The sequence below is a fragment of the Homo sapiens genome, chromosome 13 (genome assembly GCF_000001405.40).
Source record: "Homo sapiens chromosome 13, GRCh38.p14 Primary Assembly".
In the NCBI taxonomy this organism is placed as follows: Eukaryota; Metazoa; Chordata; class Mammalia; order Primates; family Hominidae; genus Homo; species Homo sapiens.
This window is the reverse complement of record NC_000013.11, coordinates 83,785,318-83,810,564: the sequence shown is the minus strand read 5'-3', so window position 1 is coordinate 83,810,564 and position 25,247 is coordinate 83,785,318. Positions and strand designations below refer to the sequence as shown.

Here is a 25,247-nt window from a genome sequence, read left to right as displayed (position 1 = left end):
TTGTGAGGTTTGGCTAGTATCTTACCTATACTCAAGAGCCTGAAACTTTAAGTTCTGCATATTAAGGAGTTGGTTTTAGTCATTAATAAGTTGATATCATTAACCAATTTTGTGTGATACATATGATGCCACAGCTCCTCGTCATTTTCAAGGGATTAGTTTCTTAAAAGTCAATTTTTTGGCCCTTCTTTTTTTCATTAAACTTTCTAACTGCTGTGCAGCGACACAACAGGGTCTTTGTCAGCTGCTTAGAGGAGCTATTTGTTAATTGTTTTGCTTCAAGGACTGCCTCCTTTGTTGATGTTCTTCCACAGATCCAAAAAGTAGTTCAGCAAAGAAGAAAACTTTAAAAAATATGTAATTTTTATTCATTGGGTATTTTTTAACAAAGAGGAAACATTTTCTAGTTGTGTTATTTAAAAACTTATTTTAATTAGTTGAGAAGTGAAGGTTAATCCATTATGGCTTTTCATTGGCAACAGAAAGAAAAAGGCACTTAACAAACACAAACATTATAAGAATAGAAATGAGTAGGCAGCTAGAATTGGTGAAATGGTAGCATTAGATATGAGGCAAAACATAATATGAAATTTGCTATTGCAAAGGCAAGATACAGAGAATTTCCATTGTGATTTCAGATAATATAAAGTGAGAAATGGGCTGCCATTTAACAGAAACCTAAAACTCGGAGGGATTTTAGATAGCATCTAAACCCATCTATCCCTTTCATAGGTGAGAAAATTGCAGCCCAGGGAAATGAAGTGATTGCCCAGCTTCTAGAGCAAATGCCAATAGAGAACAGGGAGTAAATATATTATACAACTGTGGCTTGCCACCTGGCACTCGCTACAAAGAACATTGCCTTCGCTTCCCCTATAGATTTTCATTTGTTCAGAAATGAGCCGTTTCCCTCCAGCAATGCTATCTGGAGAGAGTTGTGAATTAAAGACTGATTTTAGAGACTTTTCAACTAATTACTATGTATATAAGAATGAAATAGGTAAATTTATTTTAATAAATGTATTGTATTCAATTTCTTATAGTTTACAGGTCCCTGATGAATCGAGTCCTTCCTATAATACACAATTTAGACTGTACCATTTGACTTTTCCTTATCATATTTTTTCCTTTAACTTTCTGCATCTCTGAATAAATAGATAAATTAATAAAATATTAATATAAAATAAATTTTAAAGGATTCTCTGTAAGTAGCAGTCAGTAGACTATGTTCTGTGAACAAAATCCAGTCTATTGCCTGTTTGTTTTTAAACATATTTACTGTGTGGCCATTTACAGAATAAAAGTTTTCTGCTCTAAATCGACATGTAAGAACTATTTGCTAATAAATAAGGCAAGCATGTTAGTGAAATTGAATGAGACAGAATAGTCCCAGATACATATGATAATTCAGCTACTACAAAAATAAAAGTTTAAGATGAGAGAAAGTGGGTGGTCTAGAGTGTTTTTCATTGGATAACAGTTGTATTTAAAAATGCTTATTTTAGTAGTATCTTCTTTCATAATTTAATTTTATTTCCAAATTGGTTCATTAGATGATACAGAAGCGTTAAAACGACTTATGTGTTCCAATATGTTGAAAGATGCTAGGAAAAACACTTTTAGAATAAGAAGAAACGTTTCCTAACAAAATAAAACAGTTTATTGAAAACATAATTAACCTTGAATCTCTGCATTCTTTGAGTATACGACAAACATTTGTGCTTTGTGAAAATGTTTCTTTTTATATTCAATGCTGAAAGTTTTTTGCTTCCCTTAGGGCATTGCTGCAATAATGGATAGTAAGTATAGGATGTCTTCCTTATGTTTCTATGTTGGTGTCAGCGTTCACTGCAAGAAGTGTCCACCATATGTGGGACAGTAACAAATATCATATAAGAATTCCTTTTTTTTTTTTTTTTTTGAGTTGGAGTTTCACTCTTGTTGCTCAGACTGGAGTGCAATGGCGCGATCTCGGCTCATGGCAACCTCTGCCTCGGGCTCCTACCTTAGCTTCCCGAGTAGCTGGGATTACAGGCATGCGCCACTACGCCCGACTAATTTTTTGTATTTTTAGCAGAGACGGAGTTTCTCCATGTTGGTCAGGCTGGTCTCAAACTCCTGACCTCAGGTGATCCACCCACCTTGGCCTCCCGAAGTGCTGGGTTCACAGGCGTAAGCCACCGCACCCGGCCAAGAATTTCAAACTCTTTGATGTCTGTATATGAAATGTCAATTAAATCAACAGATACTTTGTCTGAAGCAGATATTTTATGATACATTTTTAGAGAATTAAATATACTGAGTGACGATCAGATGCAGTAAATATTTGTTTGACATTTGTCTAATTTTATTCAACTCACAGAATCAAAATATTCATGTATAAGGTCTTATGATTTAAAAAATTGTTTATTATAGGTGAAGAAACATAGAACTATTTTGGAAATAATCTCCATTTTCTGTTAGCCAGTTAACTTAATGTTGCATCCTAAAATTTAAGAAAAAAGTCTTCCATATATACGGAAGGAAAATACAATGGAGAATTCAGTTAGTATTCTTACACATAGATGGCAATAGAATATACAAATATCGGACAATGTTTTTGATTGACATCTTCTGGAGCCTCAGGATTTCTGGAAATTTTATATGGAGTTAAACAAGAGCAATTTCTCAGGTTCATTTGCAACTACTGCAATAAGACCTCATCCTTATGCAAGTCTGTTTTACATTAGATTCTGCATAAAATTTTATTGGAAAGAAATCAAGGCTTTACTACCAATACATATGTGAATGCCGCTGCTATAGGTTAATGACCAAGACCATTCAATAAAGGAAATGGTAGTAACATCAGAGGTCACTGTTGGGTGGTCCCCTGACTTTTTCATCATAAGCAAATCTTTACTAAAAAGTTATATTGAACAGTATGAGAGATTAAGGTTTAGCCAAGATCTCAGTGACCCAGTCTGTTTAATAGTAATGTAATGAGTGAGGAACTATATTCATACTTCAGTGTAAATGCAATAATAATAATCACGAGGCCTTTATTAAAAAGACAAAAATAAAATTAGAGATCTTTGACATATTTGATGAGTTATAAATCATATTATATATCCAACCTTTTCATTTTGTAGATAAAGATATTGTAATCTAAAGAATTTTCCTTATTACCAGCAGAACCAGGATGAGACTAAAAGCCCATGACCACCTTTTATATGGTTTATACTAGAAAGCAGATTAGTTTAAGACTCCAGAAATCTAGCTTTGATGTGTAATACCTCTCTAACCTTGAGCAACATAATTAAATTCTCTGAGTGACAATTTAATTTATCTGTATCATGGGTAATTCCTGATTATGTAATAATGTTTTTGTAAGGGTGGCATGAAATGTCCTATGAGTGATGTCACAGGTAAATATGAGTTACTCATATTAGTATAAGTTTAAACAACATGGAGTTGCCAATATGTTACTTTTTAAGCCTAGAAATACAACAATTTCGTATAGTTTGACGATTATCATTAATACAATTATACCACAAATTAACACTATGATAAGGTTTTATTTTCATCCTATATGCAGAAATTTTATTTACTTACATGCTTCTTTTCAGGATTCACCGTTATTTCTGATCCTAGTCAAGCTTTTATTTTCATCTTCATTTATATGTATATAAATACATATATACATACAAATAATCATCTCACAGCATCCCCTTCCTTACTCCTACTTACCTTACCTCAAAAGCAACCATTTTAATACATTAGATATATTTTCTTTTATTAGTATATATCTCCGAAGGTTTAAAACAGCCATTATTCTATTGTAATGCTTTGCAAAATATTAAATTTATAATTTAACTCATTAGAATACAATGTACTTGAGATTACATTTTATTCTTGAAGAAAAAAATGACATTTTGCTTCTCTAAAGTGTTTAGTAGGCATAGCAAGAGAATAGAATTAATCATATGAACTGGACTGGACATAACTATCACCAAACTGAGACTACAGCTGACATCCTTTAACACATTGCTTCAATTCTGCTTGACCTACTGGCAGGCTGTAGATTCTAAACATTTTCCTGTTTCATCGTTTTTTGATTCAAATACTGAGATCAACACACGTGATAATGTGAGGACGCACACACGATAATGTGAGGACGCACACACTCTCACGAACAAACACACAAACACAGAGGAAAAAAAGTAGAGAAAGGCTAAGACACAGAAATGAACAACTGGCCTACTTTTTTTTTAGACTGAAATATCTAGGTAACAGAATGAGCTGACTGGTAATGAGAATTTTCCAATCCCAAGATTAATCATTGTCAGGACATCAGGTTCACTTTGAAAACTCCTGGAAACATTCAGGGCTTATCAAAATCAAAGCAAATAAAAATAACATCCTAAACAGATATAAATAGAAGTGGGTCAAAATTTTTCCATTTTAATTTTAAGCCACAAATGAAAACAATTTAGTCTGTATTCTTTTTTAAACAATATGAAATATAAAATATTCTAAAAAGCTATGATTGTTTATTTTCAGTAGAGTGTGGTGGAAACAATTTCCAGACTTAGCTTTGAATCTCAGATCAGCCATTTACTTGTTTAAAAAAAAAACTTTCTGTACATCATTTTCTATATACTTAACTATAAAATTATAATCTTATGAGAATATTCAACTGAACTATTTTAAAAGTGAATAACAGGTTTTATGATTTTGAGCAGGAAAAATTGATGGTGATGTTGGGAAGAATGAGAAAGTTCCTCAGCAACTTATAATATTGTCCTTTTTATGGCCCGTTTGAAATCAATGGAAATACAGTATTGGGGTGAAGGAGCTTGAACCATTGAATTTCTTCTGATTATAAAAAAGTAAACAAAAAATATATGAGAAAGAAAATGATATTCATGAATATATAATTTGTGAATACTTTGCCTGTGACAAGGAAAAGTGTGAGACTTTTAGTTTCCAAGTGTTTGTATACTTTTTTAATTTTTATTTTTTTGTGGGGACATAGGTGTACGTTTACATAGTAGATGTATTTTTACATATACTTATAGGGTACATGAGATGTTTTAATACAGGCATACAATGTGTAATAATCATATGATGGAGAATGGGGTATCCATTCTCAAACATTTATCCTTTTTGTTACAAACAATCCAATTATATACTTTTTGTCAATCTAAAATGTACAATTAAATTGTTATTGACGATAGTCACCTCTGTTGTGGTATCAAATAGGTCTTATTTATTCTTTCTAACTGTTTTTTGTATCTATTATCCATCCCCACCTTCCTCCCAATCACCCTTGAAGAAGTACTAAGATTCTACTGGGATGATTGCCGATTGATGAGTTAATATTGGAAAACTCAAGATAGTATGTGATAAATTAAACTTGTATTTATTACAACCCATATTTCATTGAATTTGCCTCTTCTTAGTCTTTGTTACATCAAGAGAGAAGTGTGGCAAGTTTAAATATTCCAACAAATCTTTTACCCGACTAGGATTAAACTTCACTGATTCTACCAGTATTTCACTGTCCTTCATTCCCACTTATACATTCTTTTTCTTCTTATCGCAGTTAAATTCTCTGGTCAGGGTTTATAATTACCCCCCACTCCCCCACCCCTTTATTCTTCCTCAATGCCCCTCAGCTTGTTTGTGTGGTGAAGTCATGACTTGGACTTAACCTAATTCTCTATCTAGGCTATACTTGCTGACAGTGGCTGGAGGAAAAAAAAAAATCACAGGACTGCTGACAAGTCTTAATTTAAATTCTTATAAATGAACCTCATATTGTCTCTGAGTACAGAGCAGCAGTTATACTCTATTTCATGTGCTTTCTCATTGTCCTAGGCCATTATTTATAACCCTTTTCTCCAATTCTCAGTCTCAGTTAACGACTGTAAGTATTTCACTGAGAATGCAAATATATCCCATATTAACTCTTAACAATATATACTTTGCATTCTCTCCTACTGCTACAGATGGTCTGCCCTCATACTTCAGGCTGATCCCTAACCCACACAGACACATGCAACTCTGCATTATATCCCATCTCTTCTAGCGTACATATAGACAGCAGCACTTCTCTCTGTATTGTATCATCTATTTTTTCTCTCTACTAGATAATTCCACTAGCATAAATATAGGCTGTAATTCCTTCCATCTTAGAAAACCTTCTCATGTCCCACTCATCTCACTAACTACTACATTGGTTCCTTATTCCACTGCCAGAGCAACACCGTGAAAGAATTTTCTGTTACCCATTCCCTTTGACATACCCCATCTCTATTTCTGAATTCTACCTCAGTCAGATTTTTACCTCCATTTTATTTTTCCAGAAACAGGATCTTGCTCTGTCTACCAGGCTGGAGTGCAGTGGCACAATCGTAACTCACTGGAGCCTCTGACCCCAGGGCTCAAGCCATTCTCCTGCGTTAGACTTCCAAGTACGTGGGACCATAGGCATGTGTCACCTCACCCAGATAATTTTTCATTGTTTATTTTCTCATTTTTTAATTTTTTTTATTTTTTAGAGATAATGTCTTTCTCTGTCACCCAGACAGGAATGTTCTGCTGCGATTGGGGCTCACTCAGGCATTGGGGTTGATGCTGCAGTGAGCCCTGATTGCACCACTACATTCCCACCTGGGTGACAGAGCAAGCCCTGCTTGCTGCAGGCAAGCAATCCTCCCACCCCAGTCTCCTCAGTGGCTGGGACTACAGCCAGCCACCACCACACTCAGCTAATTTTTTAAATGTTTTGTAGAGATGGGGTCTTACTATGTTGCCCAAGATGGTCTTGATCTCCTGGACTCAAGTGATCCTCTTACCTTGGCCTTCCAAAGTGCTGGACTTAGAAACATGAGCCACAGACACTAGCCTAATTTTTAATTTTTATGTTTTTTTTTTTTTTGTAGAGACTTGCTATGATGTCCAGGTTGGCCTCAAACTCCTGGCTACAAGTGACCCTCCCACCTCTGCCTCCCAAAACACTGGGATTATGGATGTGAGCCACTGCTCCTGGCCTTACTTTTATTTTTTTTTTAATTAATGATACTGCTTCTGTCAAGGTCATTAATGACATCCATATTGTGAAATTCCTTTGTCAATTCTTAATCCACTATATACTTAGCATTTCACAACCACTTGTACCTGGTAATCATTCTTCCTCTTTGAACAATTTTCTTCCTTTACCTTTGTGGACACTAATTTGTGTTGATTTCTTCCTACTTCATTGTTTCTTCATTTTCTCCTTACTCCTTTGTTGTTTCTTCATCATTGTCCTGACATTTATTTTTATATTGCTATCTTTTTTTAAAATTTGTGGTGAGAACACATGAGATCTATCTAGTCTCTTAGCAAATTTCAACTATAGAGTACATTATTATTAACTATGGTCAGCATGCTGTCCATTAGGTCGACAGAGCTTGGCTTTCCATCTCTGTGACTGAAACTCTCTTCCCCCAAATAGCTGCAAGGCTTCCTCTCCTGCTGCTTTAAATGGTTCTTCTAGTGAGGTCAACTCTGACCATGTTATTAAAAATTGACACCCTTAGTTAGGCTTACTTATATCCTTACCCTGCTATATTTTTCATAGATATGTTTACCTGATAAAATACTGTATATATGATTCATTGATTTATCGAAGACGTTTATTACCATTATTTTACTACCAGATGGTAAGCTTGTGAAGACATGGATTTCCTTGTTCATTTGTTCTGTTTACCTCTACACTCTTCATACATAGGAGCAGGTACTCTGAAATAGTTGTTGACTGAATGAATAAAAGAATGAGATCAGTTACTTCCTAAAATTAAGTAATAAAACATATATGGCAATACATAACTTTTGGGCCCAGTGACTGGTATATACTGGTATATATAAATATATATATATTTTTGTATATATATATATATTTATATATACATAAATATATATATGTAACAAATGTCGTCACTTTCCCTATTTTTTCATTAAATTTCCAAAATCACAAGGCCCATAGAAAGTTAGAACATGGGGAAATTTTAAAAAATTGCTATCTGTCTAATAGTAGCTAAGTTATACAACAAAATCATCCACAATCTAAGTTTAATTATGTTTCTTCTTCCTCATACATGTAGGATATCCAGCTATTTTGCCCCCTTCCACCAGCACCAATATCTTTTGCTTACTAAAGGAGGTGAGTTATATTTAACTATTACATATTTTAAAAAATTGGCCAGCTGATTGCTTTGGTTGCAATTTTAATAAATTTGTCAAGTACTTTAAATTGGCATTGTTAGGGGCACATTTTTCATAGCTACAAATGAACTGTACCACTTGTTTTCTACAGTAAGTGACTTTGGGCATAAAAAGAAGACTGAAACAATACTAAATCATATGCATATATTAACTGAAATTTTAGGGAGGAATTTTTATGAATAACAAGGGACAGAATATATGAAAAATTAAGATACAATATCTGTCAAAAGGTACATCCACACTTATTAAGGGTCATAAAATGCAGTATGTTTTAATCTCTATGGAGGAAAGGAACACTGTAATGCCTTCTGTAATTATTTTACTGCAGGTAAACAATAATTTCTTAGTTCTCTTGGTTGGCTATAGCAGAATACCATTAACTAGGTAGCTTATAAACAAGGGAAATTTATTTCTGACAGTTGCAGAGGCTGGGAAGTCCAAAACCATGGCACCAGCAGATTTGGTGTCTAGTAAGGGCCTGTCCCGTGGTTGATAGATGAAGTCTCCTAGCTGTATCCTTACATGGTGAAAGGAGCCAGGCAGTTCTCTGGATCCTCCCTTATAAGGGCACTAATCTCATTGAGGAGTGCTGTGCTCTTATGACCAATTCAGTTTCCACAGGCCCCATCTCCAACTTCATCACATTGGTAACTAGATTTGAACATGCAGATTTTGGGGAGACACATTCAGATCAGAGCAATTTCAATGTGTGTGTGGTCAATAATTATTGATATAGTTTCCTACCTAATTTAAATTATTTAAAATTTTCCAATTGTAGAATTTTAATACTCTTATTTTTGTAAGTTGGATTCCTGTTCTTAAAATGTCATTCAGTGACTTCCAGTGGTTCCTAAAATCAGTTTAAAATGGAAGTTCTAGCCAGAACCATAATCAAAATATTAAAAACTTAAAATAAATATTTGGAGAAAATAATTTATAAAACAATGTTCTACTCACACCCAAAAGAAGCCCAGTCTTTTATTTTGTGTTCTCTTTGCTGGCTCCAAGAAAATAAAACTGGCCTCAATTTTAAAAATGTTTTTATAACTAGGTGTTATTTAAATTTTATTTAATTGTCAAAATTTATTGTTTATTTAGTTCCAAAATAGTAGTACAAATATAAAAATCATGATGAGGAGCTACACAGACGTATAATCAATGTCTTCAGTTTTAAATATATTGAATCTTAAATAATAAAGATGTGATGCATATAAATTTGGGGCCTTAGTGCTGCATTTTAAGCAAATGTATTAGTGTTTGATTTGCCACTGTATCTGTTAAGGGCTAAACAAGTATTAATTGAATGAGAAAATTGGTAGTGACGCTAAGAGGAAGGTTAAGAATTTAATTTTCAAGACCCCTTCCCCTATTGTTTTTAAGGCAAACAATTCCTATAATTTGAATTTCAAAAGGTTTAGAAAATCTCCATTCCTGCCTATTTGATAGCCAATTCACATCCCAGAAGGCAAACAACGTAATAGTTTCTTGTGTATCCTTTGTAGAACTATACATATTTAAGCAAATATCCATTTACACACACACACACAGTAATTTATTTAAAAATTCTTAATCTTTTCTACATTTTTACAAGAAAATAATACAGTAAACAATTTTATGCATTTTTCATGTGAGAAAATATATATACATGTGTGTATGTATGTGTATATATATATGTGTGTGTGTGTTTGTGTGTGTGGGTATGTCTATATAAATTTATTTAGACATGAAATTGCTAGGTCCAAGAGAATGGCACTTATAATTTTATAATGTTGATAAAGATTTCTAAAAACTTGCCATAGAATATTTACTATATTCTATCAGCAGGGTATGAGAATGCTGGTTTATTCATAGCATTATTTGGGGAGCTTTAATAATAATTGTAACACTGCATACAATAAAATAAAATAGTCTATGTAAGTAGATTTGAGTAGATTACAGGGCTAGAAATATAAGGTAAAAGAGGAGTCAAAGGAAAAGATTTTGCTTCCCTGCCCCGAAAAATGGTAAACTCTTTGAAGTCAGGGATATGATTACACTTCAGAAGACATAGCAGTACACGACTAATTCTACATAAAAACAATGAATTTTAAACCAGATTATGGCATCATGTATATGTTGAGAGGTTAGGAAAATGCCAGAGTTACAGATACATGTTGACAACTTAATTACAGTCACCCTTATAATCTGACAGTGGCTCTTGACAGCACACACTAAGGAGAGCAGAGAATTGCTGGTGAACTCAAGTCCCTGCAGTACCTAAAAAATTCATAGAAACTGTTAGAGCAGACCATCTGTAAGTATTAGAGGAGTCCCTCCAAACTAAATTGATTGAACAGATGTAATGACAAACAACAAATTATCTGTGATCAGTGATCCCACTTAAAAGATTTTGAAAAGTACAGCTTCTTAACTTTATCAATTACATAAACCAGGAAACTTTTGAGATGGCATGTGTGTGTGTGTGTGTGTGTGTGTGTGTGTGTGTAATATTATTTTCTTTTTTGTCTAATATTATTTTCATAGTGGCATTTTATGCATGTAAGTTCGCCAGAAATTTTCAAAAGAAGGAAAGAACTTTAATTTGCTACATTTAACTATGTATGAGGTCACTGTCCTGTTGCAGAACTGTTGTTTTGCTTAAGGGAAAACCCATTGTAGTGAGACATAATGTAACACCCACGTAGACAGTTAAGTAATTTGTAAAACACATGAGATGATGAAAGGACAATATAACTGCAAAATTTTATTATTACACAGGTATTTCAATTTAGCAACCCTATCAGTAATATTCATTTATATAGGGCATTAACTTTTTGTTGGTTTTATCTTATTTGATATTATTAACACTTGACTTTAATTCAGGCTTTTAATTCAGAGTTCTAGACTAAGAGAATAAAAAGATAAAATAAAATATGAAATAAAGTTAAGCATGTATAAAAGTCCACTTTAAAACTATATTTATCAGTATAGTACACATGTCCTTTAATAAATTTTACCATTAATTTTAGCATTATTACATTTAAAGCTGAAAAATTATTTTCAGTTTTTATAGTTAATAAGAATTATTATTAATTAATTTTCATTGCCTAAAGGATCCTAAGTACATGTAATAGCCGATTTCTCCTCTTGTGTTCTCCTAGTTCCTCAATTTCAATAAGAATTTCATTGTTAGTAGCAGAATCTTATGGAAATAATGGTAAGAGCCATTATGAAATTTCTGTAAGGATATCTGAGTGAGTCATATTTAGTTGTATTTGCTGAAAATAAAATAAATTGACTTGAGTTTTAGTCATATCTAGGAAATGATGTTTGGGAAGATTAAGCATATAACAATTTACAGAACCTTATCTTCTAGTCAGACACCGTTCTAACCACTGTTTATTGTCATTTAATCCCTACAATGAGATTATGGGGCAGATATTTCTATTATTTATCTATATTTCACTGATGAGAAAATTGAACTACAGAAATGTTAAGCAACTTCCTAAAGCTCTGATGTAAGCCTGTGATGGAGCTGGAACTTGAATCCAAGCAGTCTGGTTCCATGATGTCCTTGATCCATCAAGGTTAAGCACAACAAGCTTTCCTGGTCTGCTTTTCTGAAATATGCTCTATCAGCGAGATATCTGAAGCACTTTATTCATGAAAGTTTCTTCTCTCATCTTAGTTTTAAAGTTCCTGTCAAATTTGGAAGGAAATTATGTGTCTCAGTATGGTATTTTACTGTGATTACTTCTGATTATAGTGGCATACCAAAAAACATTTTTTATTTTAGTGGCAGTTGAGCATTGCTCAATTTTAAAAAGTAACCAAATTAACCCAAATATTTTACAGTAAAATGGTATGTTTCACTTGAACAAAACAAAGCAAGCAAGACCAGGTTAATTTAAGCAAATTGTCACTAATGTCTCCATTGTCTTTAGAGTTTAGAGAAAGTAAAATTTATGACCTAAACTATTCTACTAATAGTCTTCATTATCCATTAGAAGACCAATGTCTTGATACATTTTAAGTTTATGATTTCTTTCTTTAATATTAAAAGTTAAACTTAAGTTAGACATTCTATTAGTAATATAACATTCTGACACTTAGATTAAGAACACTCATATGAGAGAATGTTCATTGTATTTCATTCTAAATGATGTTCTTGAAATTATCTACAGAATTTCTCATAATCTGGAATACTTCAGTAGGAAATAGGTTCAAATGTTCTATAGTAAATTTGTTCAAAATTCTGTATACATATATATGTTAAATATATGTATACATATACATATTTGAGAAAATCCAATTAGGCAGCAAATGACCTTTTACCACTTGAAAAATATTTAATTTAGAGATTTTTATTTACTAATTTTCCAACATAAAAAATAAATCCTAAAGGAAAGTCTACGTACTTATTTATTTTACATGTATTTCCCCATATAAGATGTCTAAAATAAGCTAGAGAATATTAAAACAAATCTGTAGCTGGTTACCTAAAATTTAACCAATCAAGGCAATATATAATTGACCTAGGTCCTTTTGTTACTTAGTAGGATATGCATGGAACTTTGCATCTTCAAGTAAAATGTCATGTGTAGCAAAGCATACTGTGTCACATGCTGCTAAAATATTTTCCTTTACCATAGTTTTGTAAATAGAATTTTTAAAAGTTGACAAAAAGCCAACTTCTAGCTTTCAGAGTTCTGCAGTATTTTTCAGAAAATAGTAAAAATAATAGCTAAGTCACTAAGGGACCTTTTCCATACAATGTTCTAAGGCAGAAATTCTGATAATAGAGAATTTTTGAAACAATCAATTTCAAGTCATTGGCTTAAGTGACCAGGGCACAGGTTAACTATATTGTGTTTAGAGAGTTTGTATGTCTCTCTATCCATGATAATCCAAATATTTGGTGAATCTAAATTTTAAAGAGCAGAACCTGGGAGACTAACATTAAATGACTTTTGCCTTCTTCATAACTTTGTCTAGGACAGATAGCACATATATATAGGCTCAATGCAGAAAGGTTTACTACATAAGATTTTGATTAGGTCACTGAAAAATTAGCTGTATTTTTGAAAATAATTTGTTGGGAGACTAAGCTTTCAATTTCTTATTAGAAAGGAGTATTTTCAATTAAGGTGATGAATGGTCAATATCTTTGTAATGTTTTCTCCTTGATTCCAGTTTTCCTTTTGATATATTCTGTTACCAGAGGAGAGTTAACTCATAAAAGACCTTTCCTTTAGGCTTCTGTTTGGCATACAGAGAAGTGAAGAACAGGGATAAATAGACAACGTAATAACAGTGACCAGCAGGAAGGTGTTGCAGTCAACAAGATTAAAACAAAACCTAATCTGCAAAGTGAATTGTTCAATTTCATCATTGAAAACTGTATATATATTTTTTAAACCTGAGGGGCTGAGGAGATTAGATGTATTGTACATTTAGAATGTTAAGTGAATGTAACTGTATTCATCCACATAGTGATTTCCCTTAGTAACATAAGAAATTGTACTTATACTTTAAAGTGGCTTTTGAAAGTAGAAGGAAACTAAATTAGATTTTAATTGAAATTGATACAGACAGGAGGCCAGGAAATGTGGGGTAGAAGAGTGCAGGGTCCCTGGTGAGGTCTCTGCTCTCAAGCTGGGGCCCACGGCCCTAAATGAGAATTTCACATCCCTGTTTTCCCACCCAAATATTGCTTTTGGCCTGCCCTGCCCCTCTATCCTGTGCCCATATAAACCCCAGACCTCAGCTGGCAGAGGGCCAAGAGGCTGAATGTCGAGTGGGGAAGAGGCAACTGAGTGTCAGAGACTGTGGATAGACTTGGCTTAATTTCAGATGGCATGACTTTGGAGAGGAGCCAACTGGAGATGGTTTGGCTTCAGGGGATGATTATCTTCCCACTTCATCCCCTTTCCAGCTCCTCATCCAACTGAGAGCCACCTTCATCACTCAATAAAACCTCCACATTCATCATCCCTCAAGTCCATCTGATTTGATTCTTCCTGGATGTCAGACAAGGACCAGGGTACCAAGAGGGCAGGGTGTAAAACGCTGTCACCCAGCTCACCACTGAGCTGGTGAACACTTAAGTCATTTGCATATGGCTACTGCTAAAAGAGCATTAGTTCTAACACACCCCTAGACACTACCATGGGGCCAGAGCCCAAAAGCGCTTGCCCCGGCCCCGGCACCCACTCATCTGTGTGCTGTCCCTCCTGCAAAGTGTTTGAGCATAATGGTGGAGTAAGCCATCCACATCCCTGTTGCAAAAAAGCAAAGGGGTTCAGGGAACTCTCCCATCTCAAAACGGCACACAATTATCTCATGGAGAACATTCTGGGAAGAAAGTGATGGAATCCCTGTAGACTTCAAAAGCTGTGAAAAAATATGCATCCATATGCAAAGTCAAAATTTCATGTTAATGTGAATTTCTTCATGTGGCCCACTACATGAAAGGAATCCTGTTCATCAAAGTCTTCACTACATGTTCAACAAATAACTGTTGTTTTCTGTATTTGTGATTGCTTATACTCTGACATGAGTGAAATTTTAAAGTAGCAATTATATTTGAATTATGTTTGTACTCTTGAAAAAATCATGAACTAAAATTTCTATTTATCTCAAGTTTTTTTTGATGTTATAACTATAGTTATTTTTAACAGAAACCCACTTTGTACTAAAAACTCAAGACAGTGATGTACCAACTGAGATACTTAGCTTGGGGTGAAAAGAGTTAGACCTGCTTAAACATACCAGCTATGGAATATAATTGCATGTCCACATTTGTTACTGATAATTAAAATTTTTAACTGGAGATTTAAAAAATGACAATTGGCTTGAAACATACATAAAAGTTTTGTACTTGGGCTGATAAAGGAATACATTTATTTGTCACCACATGTTTAACTTTAGAAAGCATTAAACATGGTAAGTATTATAGCATTAGAGAGACTTTTCAAAGAGAGCTCCATAGAAAAGACTTTTGCTATATTTCTTTAAAAAATATAGCACACTAAATAACTTGTCAATATGTTTTCCTGGCTTAAATCTTTATTCTGTTCTAGAAAAATAATTCCAAACAGAATCTTCTCATTCTGTCTGACAATAAATGTGTGTGTATGTGTGTGTGTGTGTGTGTGTGTGTATGTAAAACTTTAGGATATTACTAATACTTTATTGCATAAAAATATTGAAATTTAAATTCCATATCCAGTTGTTATAAAAAATGTCAATGCTCCCTTAGATCTTGATTTTCCTAAACATTTTATCATCAGTTTTAAGTGTAAATGTCCTAGAAAATAATTCATTTCCATGATTAGTTTAATTGCACTTATATTTATATATAACAACATAGAGGAAAATACGCGCATGGCTTTTATCTGTTTGAAAATGGTTAATTTTTCTAACACTGATGTATGTCAAGATACTGAAATGACAGCTTCTCTTCTTGAACCTTAACTATGATGCAGCTCATTACATTAGCACCAAGAAAGCAGGCCATAAATTTCCACAGTGTGTTCAGGCATGTCTGTAGGCTTGACATTGCCTTCCTCATAGAATATCCATCATTCCAGAAATGTCCTGGGTGCTGAAGGGACAGACTGCAAAGAAATTAAATTCCCAAAATAGCAACACAGAATTTCTCACTGTTAAAATCAGTAAATGATACTGTTGTAATCAGTTGGATTTCTGCCTCATCATTAAACTGAAGTAATTTCCTGCTTATGTCAGAAAGAATTTCATGCTTTAAAAACTATGGAGAGTTTACTATGTTTACTTAGTTTATGAAAATGGGAAAAAATGAACAGCAGAGTAAAATTAATAGAAAATCTAAAACATGAACAGAAATATATTTTTTACTTCATGCATTTTAGGAAATAATAAACTTTAATGAACTAAATGTAAGCAAGCACTTTCAGGACTGAAAATATATTATTTCTAAAGAATATGCTTGGAGTGATGAACAGTCAAGACACTTTTTGTTGCAATACTTATACCATGTAATGGAACTACAGATAATGTTTAAGGCATAGAGGGGAAAGAACATATTGAAAGGTACAAATTACCACTTTTTTTCCTGCCTAAGAATGTTAAGTTCTTTGAGGAAATGAATGCGAAATAGAAACTGACTATTTAAATGCAAAGCCCATTTAATATTAATTAAGGATGGAAAGAATATTCTGTCACACATTCATCGATTTCAGCCAGCATCAATACAAAGTCTCATTGTTGGGGATGTAAAATGAACATGATATCATGGAATTTCAGATCCTGTATATTTTTGGGGAGTTGCGGGGGGGGAATGCAGAAAAAAAATGGACTGGAAAATCTGTCTCTTATTTTAATATTCAATTTACTGATTTTCTTAAAATGAGAAACATAACTTTGGGTAGATATCAGATACTTTTAAAACCTCTGATTCAATATTTTTTAAGTAAAACATTGATCATGCTACTTTTTCTGTAATTAAGATAGAAAAAAATCAATGTATTTCTTCAATTGACAATAACTATATTATATAACATTAAGTGTTGTGTTCATATTTCAAAAAATGTGACCCCAAAAAATCAGATGCTAAGGTAAAGGAAAAGGTAAACCAATTCCTGTGGATTAGCAGTTCTGGTAGACAGAATAGTAGACCCTTCAAAAGGTACAACGTTCTTGCCCTGAAAATTTGTGAATGTTACCCAATGTGGTAAAAGGAATTTTGCTGATATAATTAATGTCATGGACCTTAAAATAGGGAAAGGTGACCTGAATTATCCAGGTGTCACTGATCTAATCACCCAATCTAATCTAATCTAATCAGCCTCTAAAAGCAGATAATTTTGGGAAGGCGAGGCTGGTGGATCATGAGGTCAGGAGTTCAAGACCAGCCTGGCCAAGATGGTGAAACCCCATCTCTAATAAAAATACAAAAATTAGCCCGGTGCAGTGGCAGGTGCCTGTAATCCCAGCCACTCAGGAGGCTGAGGCAGGAGAATTGCTTGAACCCGGGGGGTGGAGGTTGCAGTGAGCCAAGATCACGCCACTGCCCAGCCTGGGCAACAGAGTGAGACTCCATCTCAAAAAAAGAAAAAAAAAAAAACAAAAAACAAGCAGAGTATTGTCTACAGCTAGTTGAAGAACAAGATGGCATAAAGAGGCAGCAAAAGGGAAGTTGGAGAGATTCAAAGTCTGAGAGGGAATCCACTTGCTGTTGCTGGAGACCATGGGTGAGAAGGGCCGTTACTAAGAGTGTCGCAGGCACCTCAAAGCATGAGAAGAAATACCCCTAACCTCTAGGAGGGAAGATTAACCCTCACATCTGAGAGGCAGCAAAGAAATGAAAACCTCAGTTACAGAAACTGAATTCTTCCAAACAACCAGAGTGAATTTGGAAACTGGTTAATTCCCCAGAGCCTCCAGAAAGGGTGAGCAAAGCTTCACTGACACTGATTTTGGCTCTCTGAGACCCAGTGCAAAAAACCAGCAGAATTTCATTCCTATTTCTGACCTACAGAAGTTAGATAATAATAGTGTGTTGTTTTAGGCCAAAAAAAAAAACAACAAAAAAAAAACAACTATGGTAATATGTTAAAGTGGTATAGAAATCACTATCAAAGAATTGTTTCCTCTTAAGTCATAAAAGTTAAATGAAAGAAAAGTATATTCACAAACATATGTCATTAAATTAATTGTTAATCCAAGCGTGCACACAATATGTTTTTATATCCTTCTAGATGTGTAATTGGGGTAATATACAATATTCAAAACTGCATATCAGAAAACAGTGAAGCTGCCTAGTGTTCAATTTGTTGTGTGGATCCATTCAAAGTGCCTAATGTAGAAAACTTAAAAGTAGAGTCAGATTTTATTAGAAACTGTTCCCTCCAGGACAAGCTCATATACAAATCTGCTTGAAGTTGGTGCTATTAGCAGTGGAGCTCCTCAATTGACCTGACTTTTGTAAAAATTTTATTTTCTTGCCTCTTTCCAGCTAGTGATTTTAGCAGTAATAAGCAGTAAAAATTTACAGGGAAGCTGTACAATGAATGCTTGACCTCAGCTATGATTGCAAACATATCCTCTTATATAGGTAAACATATTGACTTGGGACAACTCAAATTCATTTAGGGCAATGCCTGTGACAACAGAAAATACAAACCATTATTAAAATTTCTGATTCCATGTTATCCTGGGCCACATAATGAAATCCCATCTCTTAAAAAAAATTAGCTGTATGTGGTGGCATATGACTATAGTCCCAGCTACTCAGGAGTCTGAGGTGGGAGGATGGTTTGAGCCTGGAAGGTTGAGGCTGTAGTGACCGGTGATTGTGTCACTGCACTCTAGCCTGGGTAACAGAGTGAGACCCTGTCTCAAAAAACAGAACAAAACAAAAAAATTGCTGACTCTATTTCTTGGGAACTCCCCGGTGATTCACTACTCATTATTTATGTGTGCCTAGATATCTTTTCTCTGCCCAAATGGTAGATAAATCCTAATTTAAAAACTCTCATAGTATTTCCACAGAAATTAAAGTGAGTGTCTTGATGGAAATTTAATAGATATTGATATATTTTTATAGCATCATTGTATATTTCATATCATAAAATATAATTTGCAATTTAAAATTAAAAAAACAGAGGGACAAATATTAGGGGCAAATAACCAAATTAAAGCATGTTTTAATTTAGGATTAATGCTGTTATTTTAATTGTTAAGGGGAAGAATGCAGACGTTTTCTATGAATCATTAATATCTAAAACACTCAATCAACTATTATTTAAGTCTTTAGGGAGTGCTTAAAATATAACAGAAAGTAATTTAGAGTGTTCTGCCCTCTATATGTAAGATTTAAAAGAAATACTCCTTTGTTAGGTTATATTTGAGTGATTTTTAAATTTATTTAATTATATTATAAGCAGCAATTTGTAAGTAGGAAAAGAAAATATTGTTTTAAAGTACTCTTTACTCATCTAAAAGCCCAAGCAAGAATTAATAAACTGCTGCCATTTCTGGATATATATAAAAGCAGAAATCTTTCTCCATCTGCCTCATTGCTTATCACAAGTGTCTTTCTTTTTTGTGTTTCAGAATATTGCTAAGAGCACACAATCTTGCCATTGCAATTTCAAACTCATTTTCTTTTTCACGTTCCCTATCTAGATGCCTAAGATTCCAAGGTCGTCTCCTGGTACTCTCTTTAGGCACTTATGGAATGGTAAACTGAAATGTGTACATATATATATATATGAATCTAAATTCCTTCTTTTACAATGCCAACAAAATAGCATGCATGGTATTTTGAACTGGCAATTTTAAATATGAATGCATCTTTACCTGAAAGTAATGGGAGATAAGGGCACAGTCACCTAAACAAAATATCTAAAGATTTAAAAATGCAAAATATTTCTAAAATTATTATAAATTAAAAATAGTTTTCATGACCTGAAACAGTAAAATAAGAATGCTGCAAATTTTAGAGAATGCCTAATTATCTAGATCGTTACAATAATGTGGCTATATTAAACCCTTCTATGCATTATAGCTATAGCATTCTCATGGCCTGAAACAAAGTAATGAACCCCATATTTATTCATCCAAAATGTTACTTAGGTCTTGAATAGACTGAATCATTGAATTTGTAAAATGAAAAAAGAAATCTAAATAATAATAATAATGATAATAAAATATTTTTCTAACATAAAAAGGTCAATTTTGATTAGAAAATAATCAAAAGATAGTTCTTGGTTATAATCCCAGTAGAGAGAACAAATAAGATGTCAGAAGTATTTTAAAGGCAAAAAGAGATCAGGAAAGCCAACACATACCAGTCCTAAGTGATTTAATTGTTAAAATATGAATTAAGAGAAAAATAATTTGAAACTGTTTATAGGAATATGTCAATTACTAGATAAATTCTTTAAATTTTAGGAAATACAGTATCTATTTATCAAAATTATTATATTTCAAATAAAGCAAGTAGTGAGACAATTAGATATGTTGAGTACTAAACAAAATTTAATTCAGATATCTTAGTCATAAGAATGATCAACTTATATTTATAAATATTAAATTTCAATATTTTGTATAGCTCAGCTCACATTTCTTAATTTCTCCTTTTATAATAGTGATGCCATGAAAAATATAGAAATACTTTAAAAATTACTTTTTACTAAAAATCACAAAAAATAAAGAAAATTTGTCTATTAAAATATTTGCTGTTATGGCTTGCTTATACATACATACATACATGGCCTCTGTGTTGGTTGGTTTTATGTGTCAAATTGACAAGTGTTAGTTCTCAACTATTTCAAACACTAATCTAGGTGTTGCCATGAAGGTACCTGTGGTTAACATCTTTAATAAGTTAACTTTAAGTATAGGGGATAGCTCTCAATGATATGGGTGAGGGTTATTTAATAATTTGAAAGGCCTTAAGAGCAAAAACAGAGATGTTCCTGATAAGAAGTCTGCCTCAAGACCAGAACATCAACTACTGCCTGATTTTCCAGCCCTCCAGCCTGCACATTGCAAACAAATTTCAGGCTTGCCAGTCTTCAGAATAATGTGAGCCAATTTACTGAAATAAATCTCTTTATATATAGATAGACATAGATAGCTAGATAATGATAGGTAGATAGATACAAGACAGACCATAGATAGATAGGTTTTTTTTTTTTTTTTTTTGAGACGGAGTCTGGCTCTGTCGCCCAGGCTGGAGTACAGTGGCACAATCTCGGCTCACGGTAAGCTCCGCCTCCCGGGTTCACGCCGTTCTCCTGCCTCAGCCTCCTGAGTAGCTGGGACTACAGGCGCCCGCCACCACACCCGGCTAATTTTTTGTATTTTTAGTAGAGATGGGGTTTCATCATGTTAGCCAGAATGGTCTAGATCTCCTGACCTCGTGATCCGCCCTCCTCAGCCTCCCAAAGTGCTGGGATTACAGGCGTGAGCCACCACGCCTGGCCGATAGATAGATGTTTTATTGGGTTTATTTTTCTGGGGAAATCTGATTGCTACAGCATCACAGAAAAAATGTAAATATTAGAGGCATTCAAAAAGTACTGCATTTAACACTTATTTTAACAACTAGAAATAGAATTTACAAAAACTCTCTTCCCATATTCAGATTTTTATGTTTTTTCTACTGCTTTAATACCTCCAGTCTCTGATATAACAAATATTATCCTAACTGAAGACTTTCTCATAAGCTCCAGTTTTCACGGAGAGAAATTAAATGGGAAGATCACTAGAAGTAGAGCTACAGTTTCAAACAAAATTTAAAGTAAATTAGTAAAGCTTTCAGTAAAGTTAGTCAAAATAACATGCCCATACCCAGAGAGAAAGAAATCCATCATATGTAATATTCAATGATTAAAATGGTAATTTTTCTATTATTTGAAATAATAATTTTTTTTACTCTGAATGTTATAGTTTTAAATAACGAATGTGTTTTATTCCTCTATTTTTTTCTTTCATCTTTTTGCCCTTTTCTAAAAACAGATAACAAGGAAAGATGAGAACAGTGGATTATTGTCAGGGATTTAAAATGAATTAGTTAACAGCAAATACTTGTCAGTTGATACATGAAGCTATAGTAATAAAACATTCCTTTTGATGCTTTGTGATTCATGTGAATCTGTATGCCACATAATTAGGAACCCAAGTGAATAGCAGCTAAAATTGCCAATGTCAAGAAATTCCCAGAGTTTTCAAAGACACTTTGGAAAAAAAAATGGGTCAAATATGTATAGTACATAAAAATCAATGTTCAAATTTATACAGTATACTTTGTTTATTTCTATAAATACATAAACTTATTTTCAGGTCACATTAAAAATTAAGTTTAGGAATTAACTTAGAGAAAGGTAATTTAGTTAGGTTAGAAATCCAAATAAGTGGCAAGCATGTCAAGTGTGAAGCCATTAAATAAGTTAGTGACTAGTTTATATAAATTTTGATTTCAGGTATTTAATAATTTTAGAGGTGAGTTACAAAAAGTTTAATGCAGGAATATTTTAATAACTAAAGCATAATTAATCCATCAGTAAAGAGGACATTTTCTGTTTCTAGAAGTAAAAATTAATTTAGATTACAGCAACCTGTATTTTTAAATTTTTCTAAGAAACAGCTTCCACATACAGGCACATATTTTGCACTTATTTACCCTCTATCCTATTACATGGTAGAAATTGGCTTTAACAAAAACTTCATATTAGCAAATATAAATTAAATTATGTTATTTGTATGCAAATAAACCATCAATATGGTTTAGAAGATTAACAGCGTAAAGACAAAAGCCAACTTTTTTTCTGATAAAACCTGAATTAAAAATAAAATTTAATTTGTATTTTATTTAGGAAACTCCATACCATTTTTCACAATAATTCTTTAAGAAATTAAAAATCAAATTCCCATATGACTTGACAATTTTTCTTCTAGATATATACCCAAAGGAGATAAAATCACCACCTTGTAAAAATACCTGCACTCCCATGTTCATTGTAGCATTATTTACAATAGCCAAGATATAGAAATAACATGTGTCTACCCATAAATGAATGGATAAAGAAAATGTGGTATGTTTGTGTGTGTGTGTGTGTGTGTATGTATATATATAAAATGGAATAACTATTCAGCCTTTAAAAAGAAGACCCTGCATTTGCCACAGAATGGATAGACCTGGAGGACATTATGCCAAGTAAAATAAGCCAGAAAAAATACATTGCATGATCTCACTAATCTGTGGAATAAGAACACAAAAAGCTCAACTATGCAGAGATACAGAATGAAACGAGAGAGAAAGGGCAAATGTAGGTCAAAGGATAAAAAATAGCAGATATGTAGGATGAAAAAGTTTAGATATCTAATGCATGATTTAAGGACTAATGTTGATTTCAGTTAACAGACTAACGAGTTCATGAAAGCTGGGGAGTCAAGAAGGACTCAACACCACCAGAAGCTCCAGGAGATAAGGTCCTTTCAAGAATATCCCTACATTCTTAGTTATGAATTGGGAAGTGAAAGGTAATGGAAGGTGTAGCACAGGTAAAAGAAGCCACTAGTTGAGTTTTGTACATCCCAAGCCACTGATGGCAACCCTTACTTTCCCTTCTGCTCACATTGCAGAGGGGAGAATATTGAAGTTGTCAGAATAGTTTTGGTTCTGACGTGGTTTGTAAACAAAAATTAAATGTTCCCAGCATCAGCACCATGACTGGGCTATAGCCATGATTGTGGTAACATGGCCGAGATGGGCTCTGCGGGAAAATTCAACGTCATTCCCCTTCCAGCCAATGTCTCCTTCACTAATCAACATCCAGATACATAGAAAACCCTAATAAGATTTTCAGAGAAGGGTACGATTATGGGTTTGATGGCAGAAAGTTGAGTGGGTTCTCATCTGGTGTTTTTAAAAATTTCCTTCTGAGGAAAGGGATGGCACAGATGGAAGGAAAAAAAGATGCTCAAATTAAAAGTTAAGAGATTGGAGGAGTTAATGCAGGGCAAGGCTGGGATCCCAAATGTAATCAGAGACATAAAAACTATAAGTTTTCATTGCTTGTGAACTTCCCTTGCTCCGCTATTTACTGTATCATTAATAACAGTTATTTCAATCCAGAGGGGCGGTTTTGCTAGATGAATGAAGTGGAAGAGCAAAAGGGCAAATTATTTGAGTATGTTAGCAACTTGAGTCATTTAAGTGATAATTATTAGATAGAAAAAGGAGGGAGAATAAGAAAAGAGACGTGAGAGTGAGACAGATTAGGGATCAAAAGAACAAAGTCCAAGTGAGATAAAAGAACAAACGTGTTAGAGATATATGGAGTCGCAATGGTGGGAAATTGTGATCAAATAGCATAAAAACCCAATCGATTATTTGAGAGATAAAAGATTTCCAGAGAATGTGGAGTTCTATTGATGTCAGTCCAAGTATTTGAGGTAAACTTGAGGGGAGGTTTCTTGTGGCTTATCCCAGAGATTATCTTCAGTTGGTCTTCCCTTACGTTATCCCCTTCTTCCCATATTGCTCCCCAGCTCTCATCTGTAGTGAACACTTTGCATTCATCTTACCCCTCTGTGGAATAGCATATAGAGTAAGCAGTTTATGGACTTGTTACCAGTGAATTCTGCTAAGAGGATGCCTAAATTATATGAAAAGCAAATTTAGTATCAAAATAATTCCAGTGCTTCCTATGTTGACCATCTTAGGTAGTATCACATAATAATAGAAGCTTTATATTTCTAATTAATGAAACCATAAATGGTGGAACTACCGAATGATTGAAATTTAGTAGTGAGAAAAATTTTGGTTTTCCTTACATTATGTTATACATGGCTACGCTTTTATGATACAGCCCATACAACCATTAAGGCCTCTAAGAAATTTGAGGTTTCAGAATAATATAGCTCAGAATTGGCAAATAAACAACACAAATGATGCCTAATTGGTAACTGCATGTTTTCCAGCTGTGGGAAGAATGAACTGAAGAAGTCTTCTTGACATGGTGTCTCAGTCATTATCAGTTCATCAACATTTGTACTTCAGCAGCATGCTATTTGTCATCTATCTCTAGCCTTTTCCTTCAGAAGCCCGGAAGGATTCTGAATAATTGTCTTTGGCTCTAGTACCACAAGCAAAGGTTTAGGGATATGTTACATCCTAAGAGACAGGGAGGATCTGGTTTTACAACACTCACGAGCACACTGGGCTTTCTGAAACTCAATCAATCCAAGACAGATCTCCTCAGAGACTTATAAAAGCAAAGGTGAACGAACACAGGCTTTCAGCTTTTCCACAAAGTCTTCTGTTGGGTCTTTGTGAATCTGGAATTCACATTGTTAAAAGTGCTTTGATTCTTCTCTCCATCATGGCTATGTCTGGCTGTGCTTTCTTCCCTCATATTTGATGTGAAACAAAGGGAGGTTTAGTGCACCTTGTTAGGCTATTTATCTTAAAAATATGAAACCATTCTACAAATGTCATAAAAATCCGTAACGTCATACAGTTC

At 33.7% G+C, this 25,247-nt stretch overlaps 1 long non-coding RNA gene across 5 annotated transcripts in view; it reads left to right on the top strand.

The window, feature by feature from the left end:
• The window catches only part of LOC105370286 (uncharacterized), a 97,595-nt gene that overhangs the window by 7,161 nt on the left and 65,187 nt on the right, over nt 1-25,247 (top strand). The window contains exons 3-4 of one of the 5 annotated variants that reach the window (XR_001749945.1): nt 6,348-6,455; nt 8,130-8,188. This is a non-coding gene — a long non-coding RNA (uncharacterized LOC105370286). Of the gene's footprint in view, nt 1-1,777; nt 1,800-6,347; nt 6,456-6,926; nt 6,966-8,129; nt 8,189-25,247 lie in introns of those variants that run through there. The other 4 variants (XR_001749947.1, XR_001749946.1, XR_942129.2 and 1 more) reach the window with 4 other exon arrangements.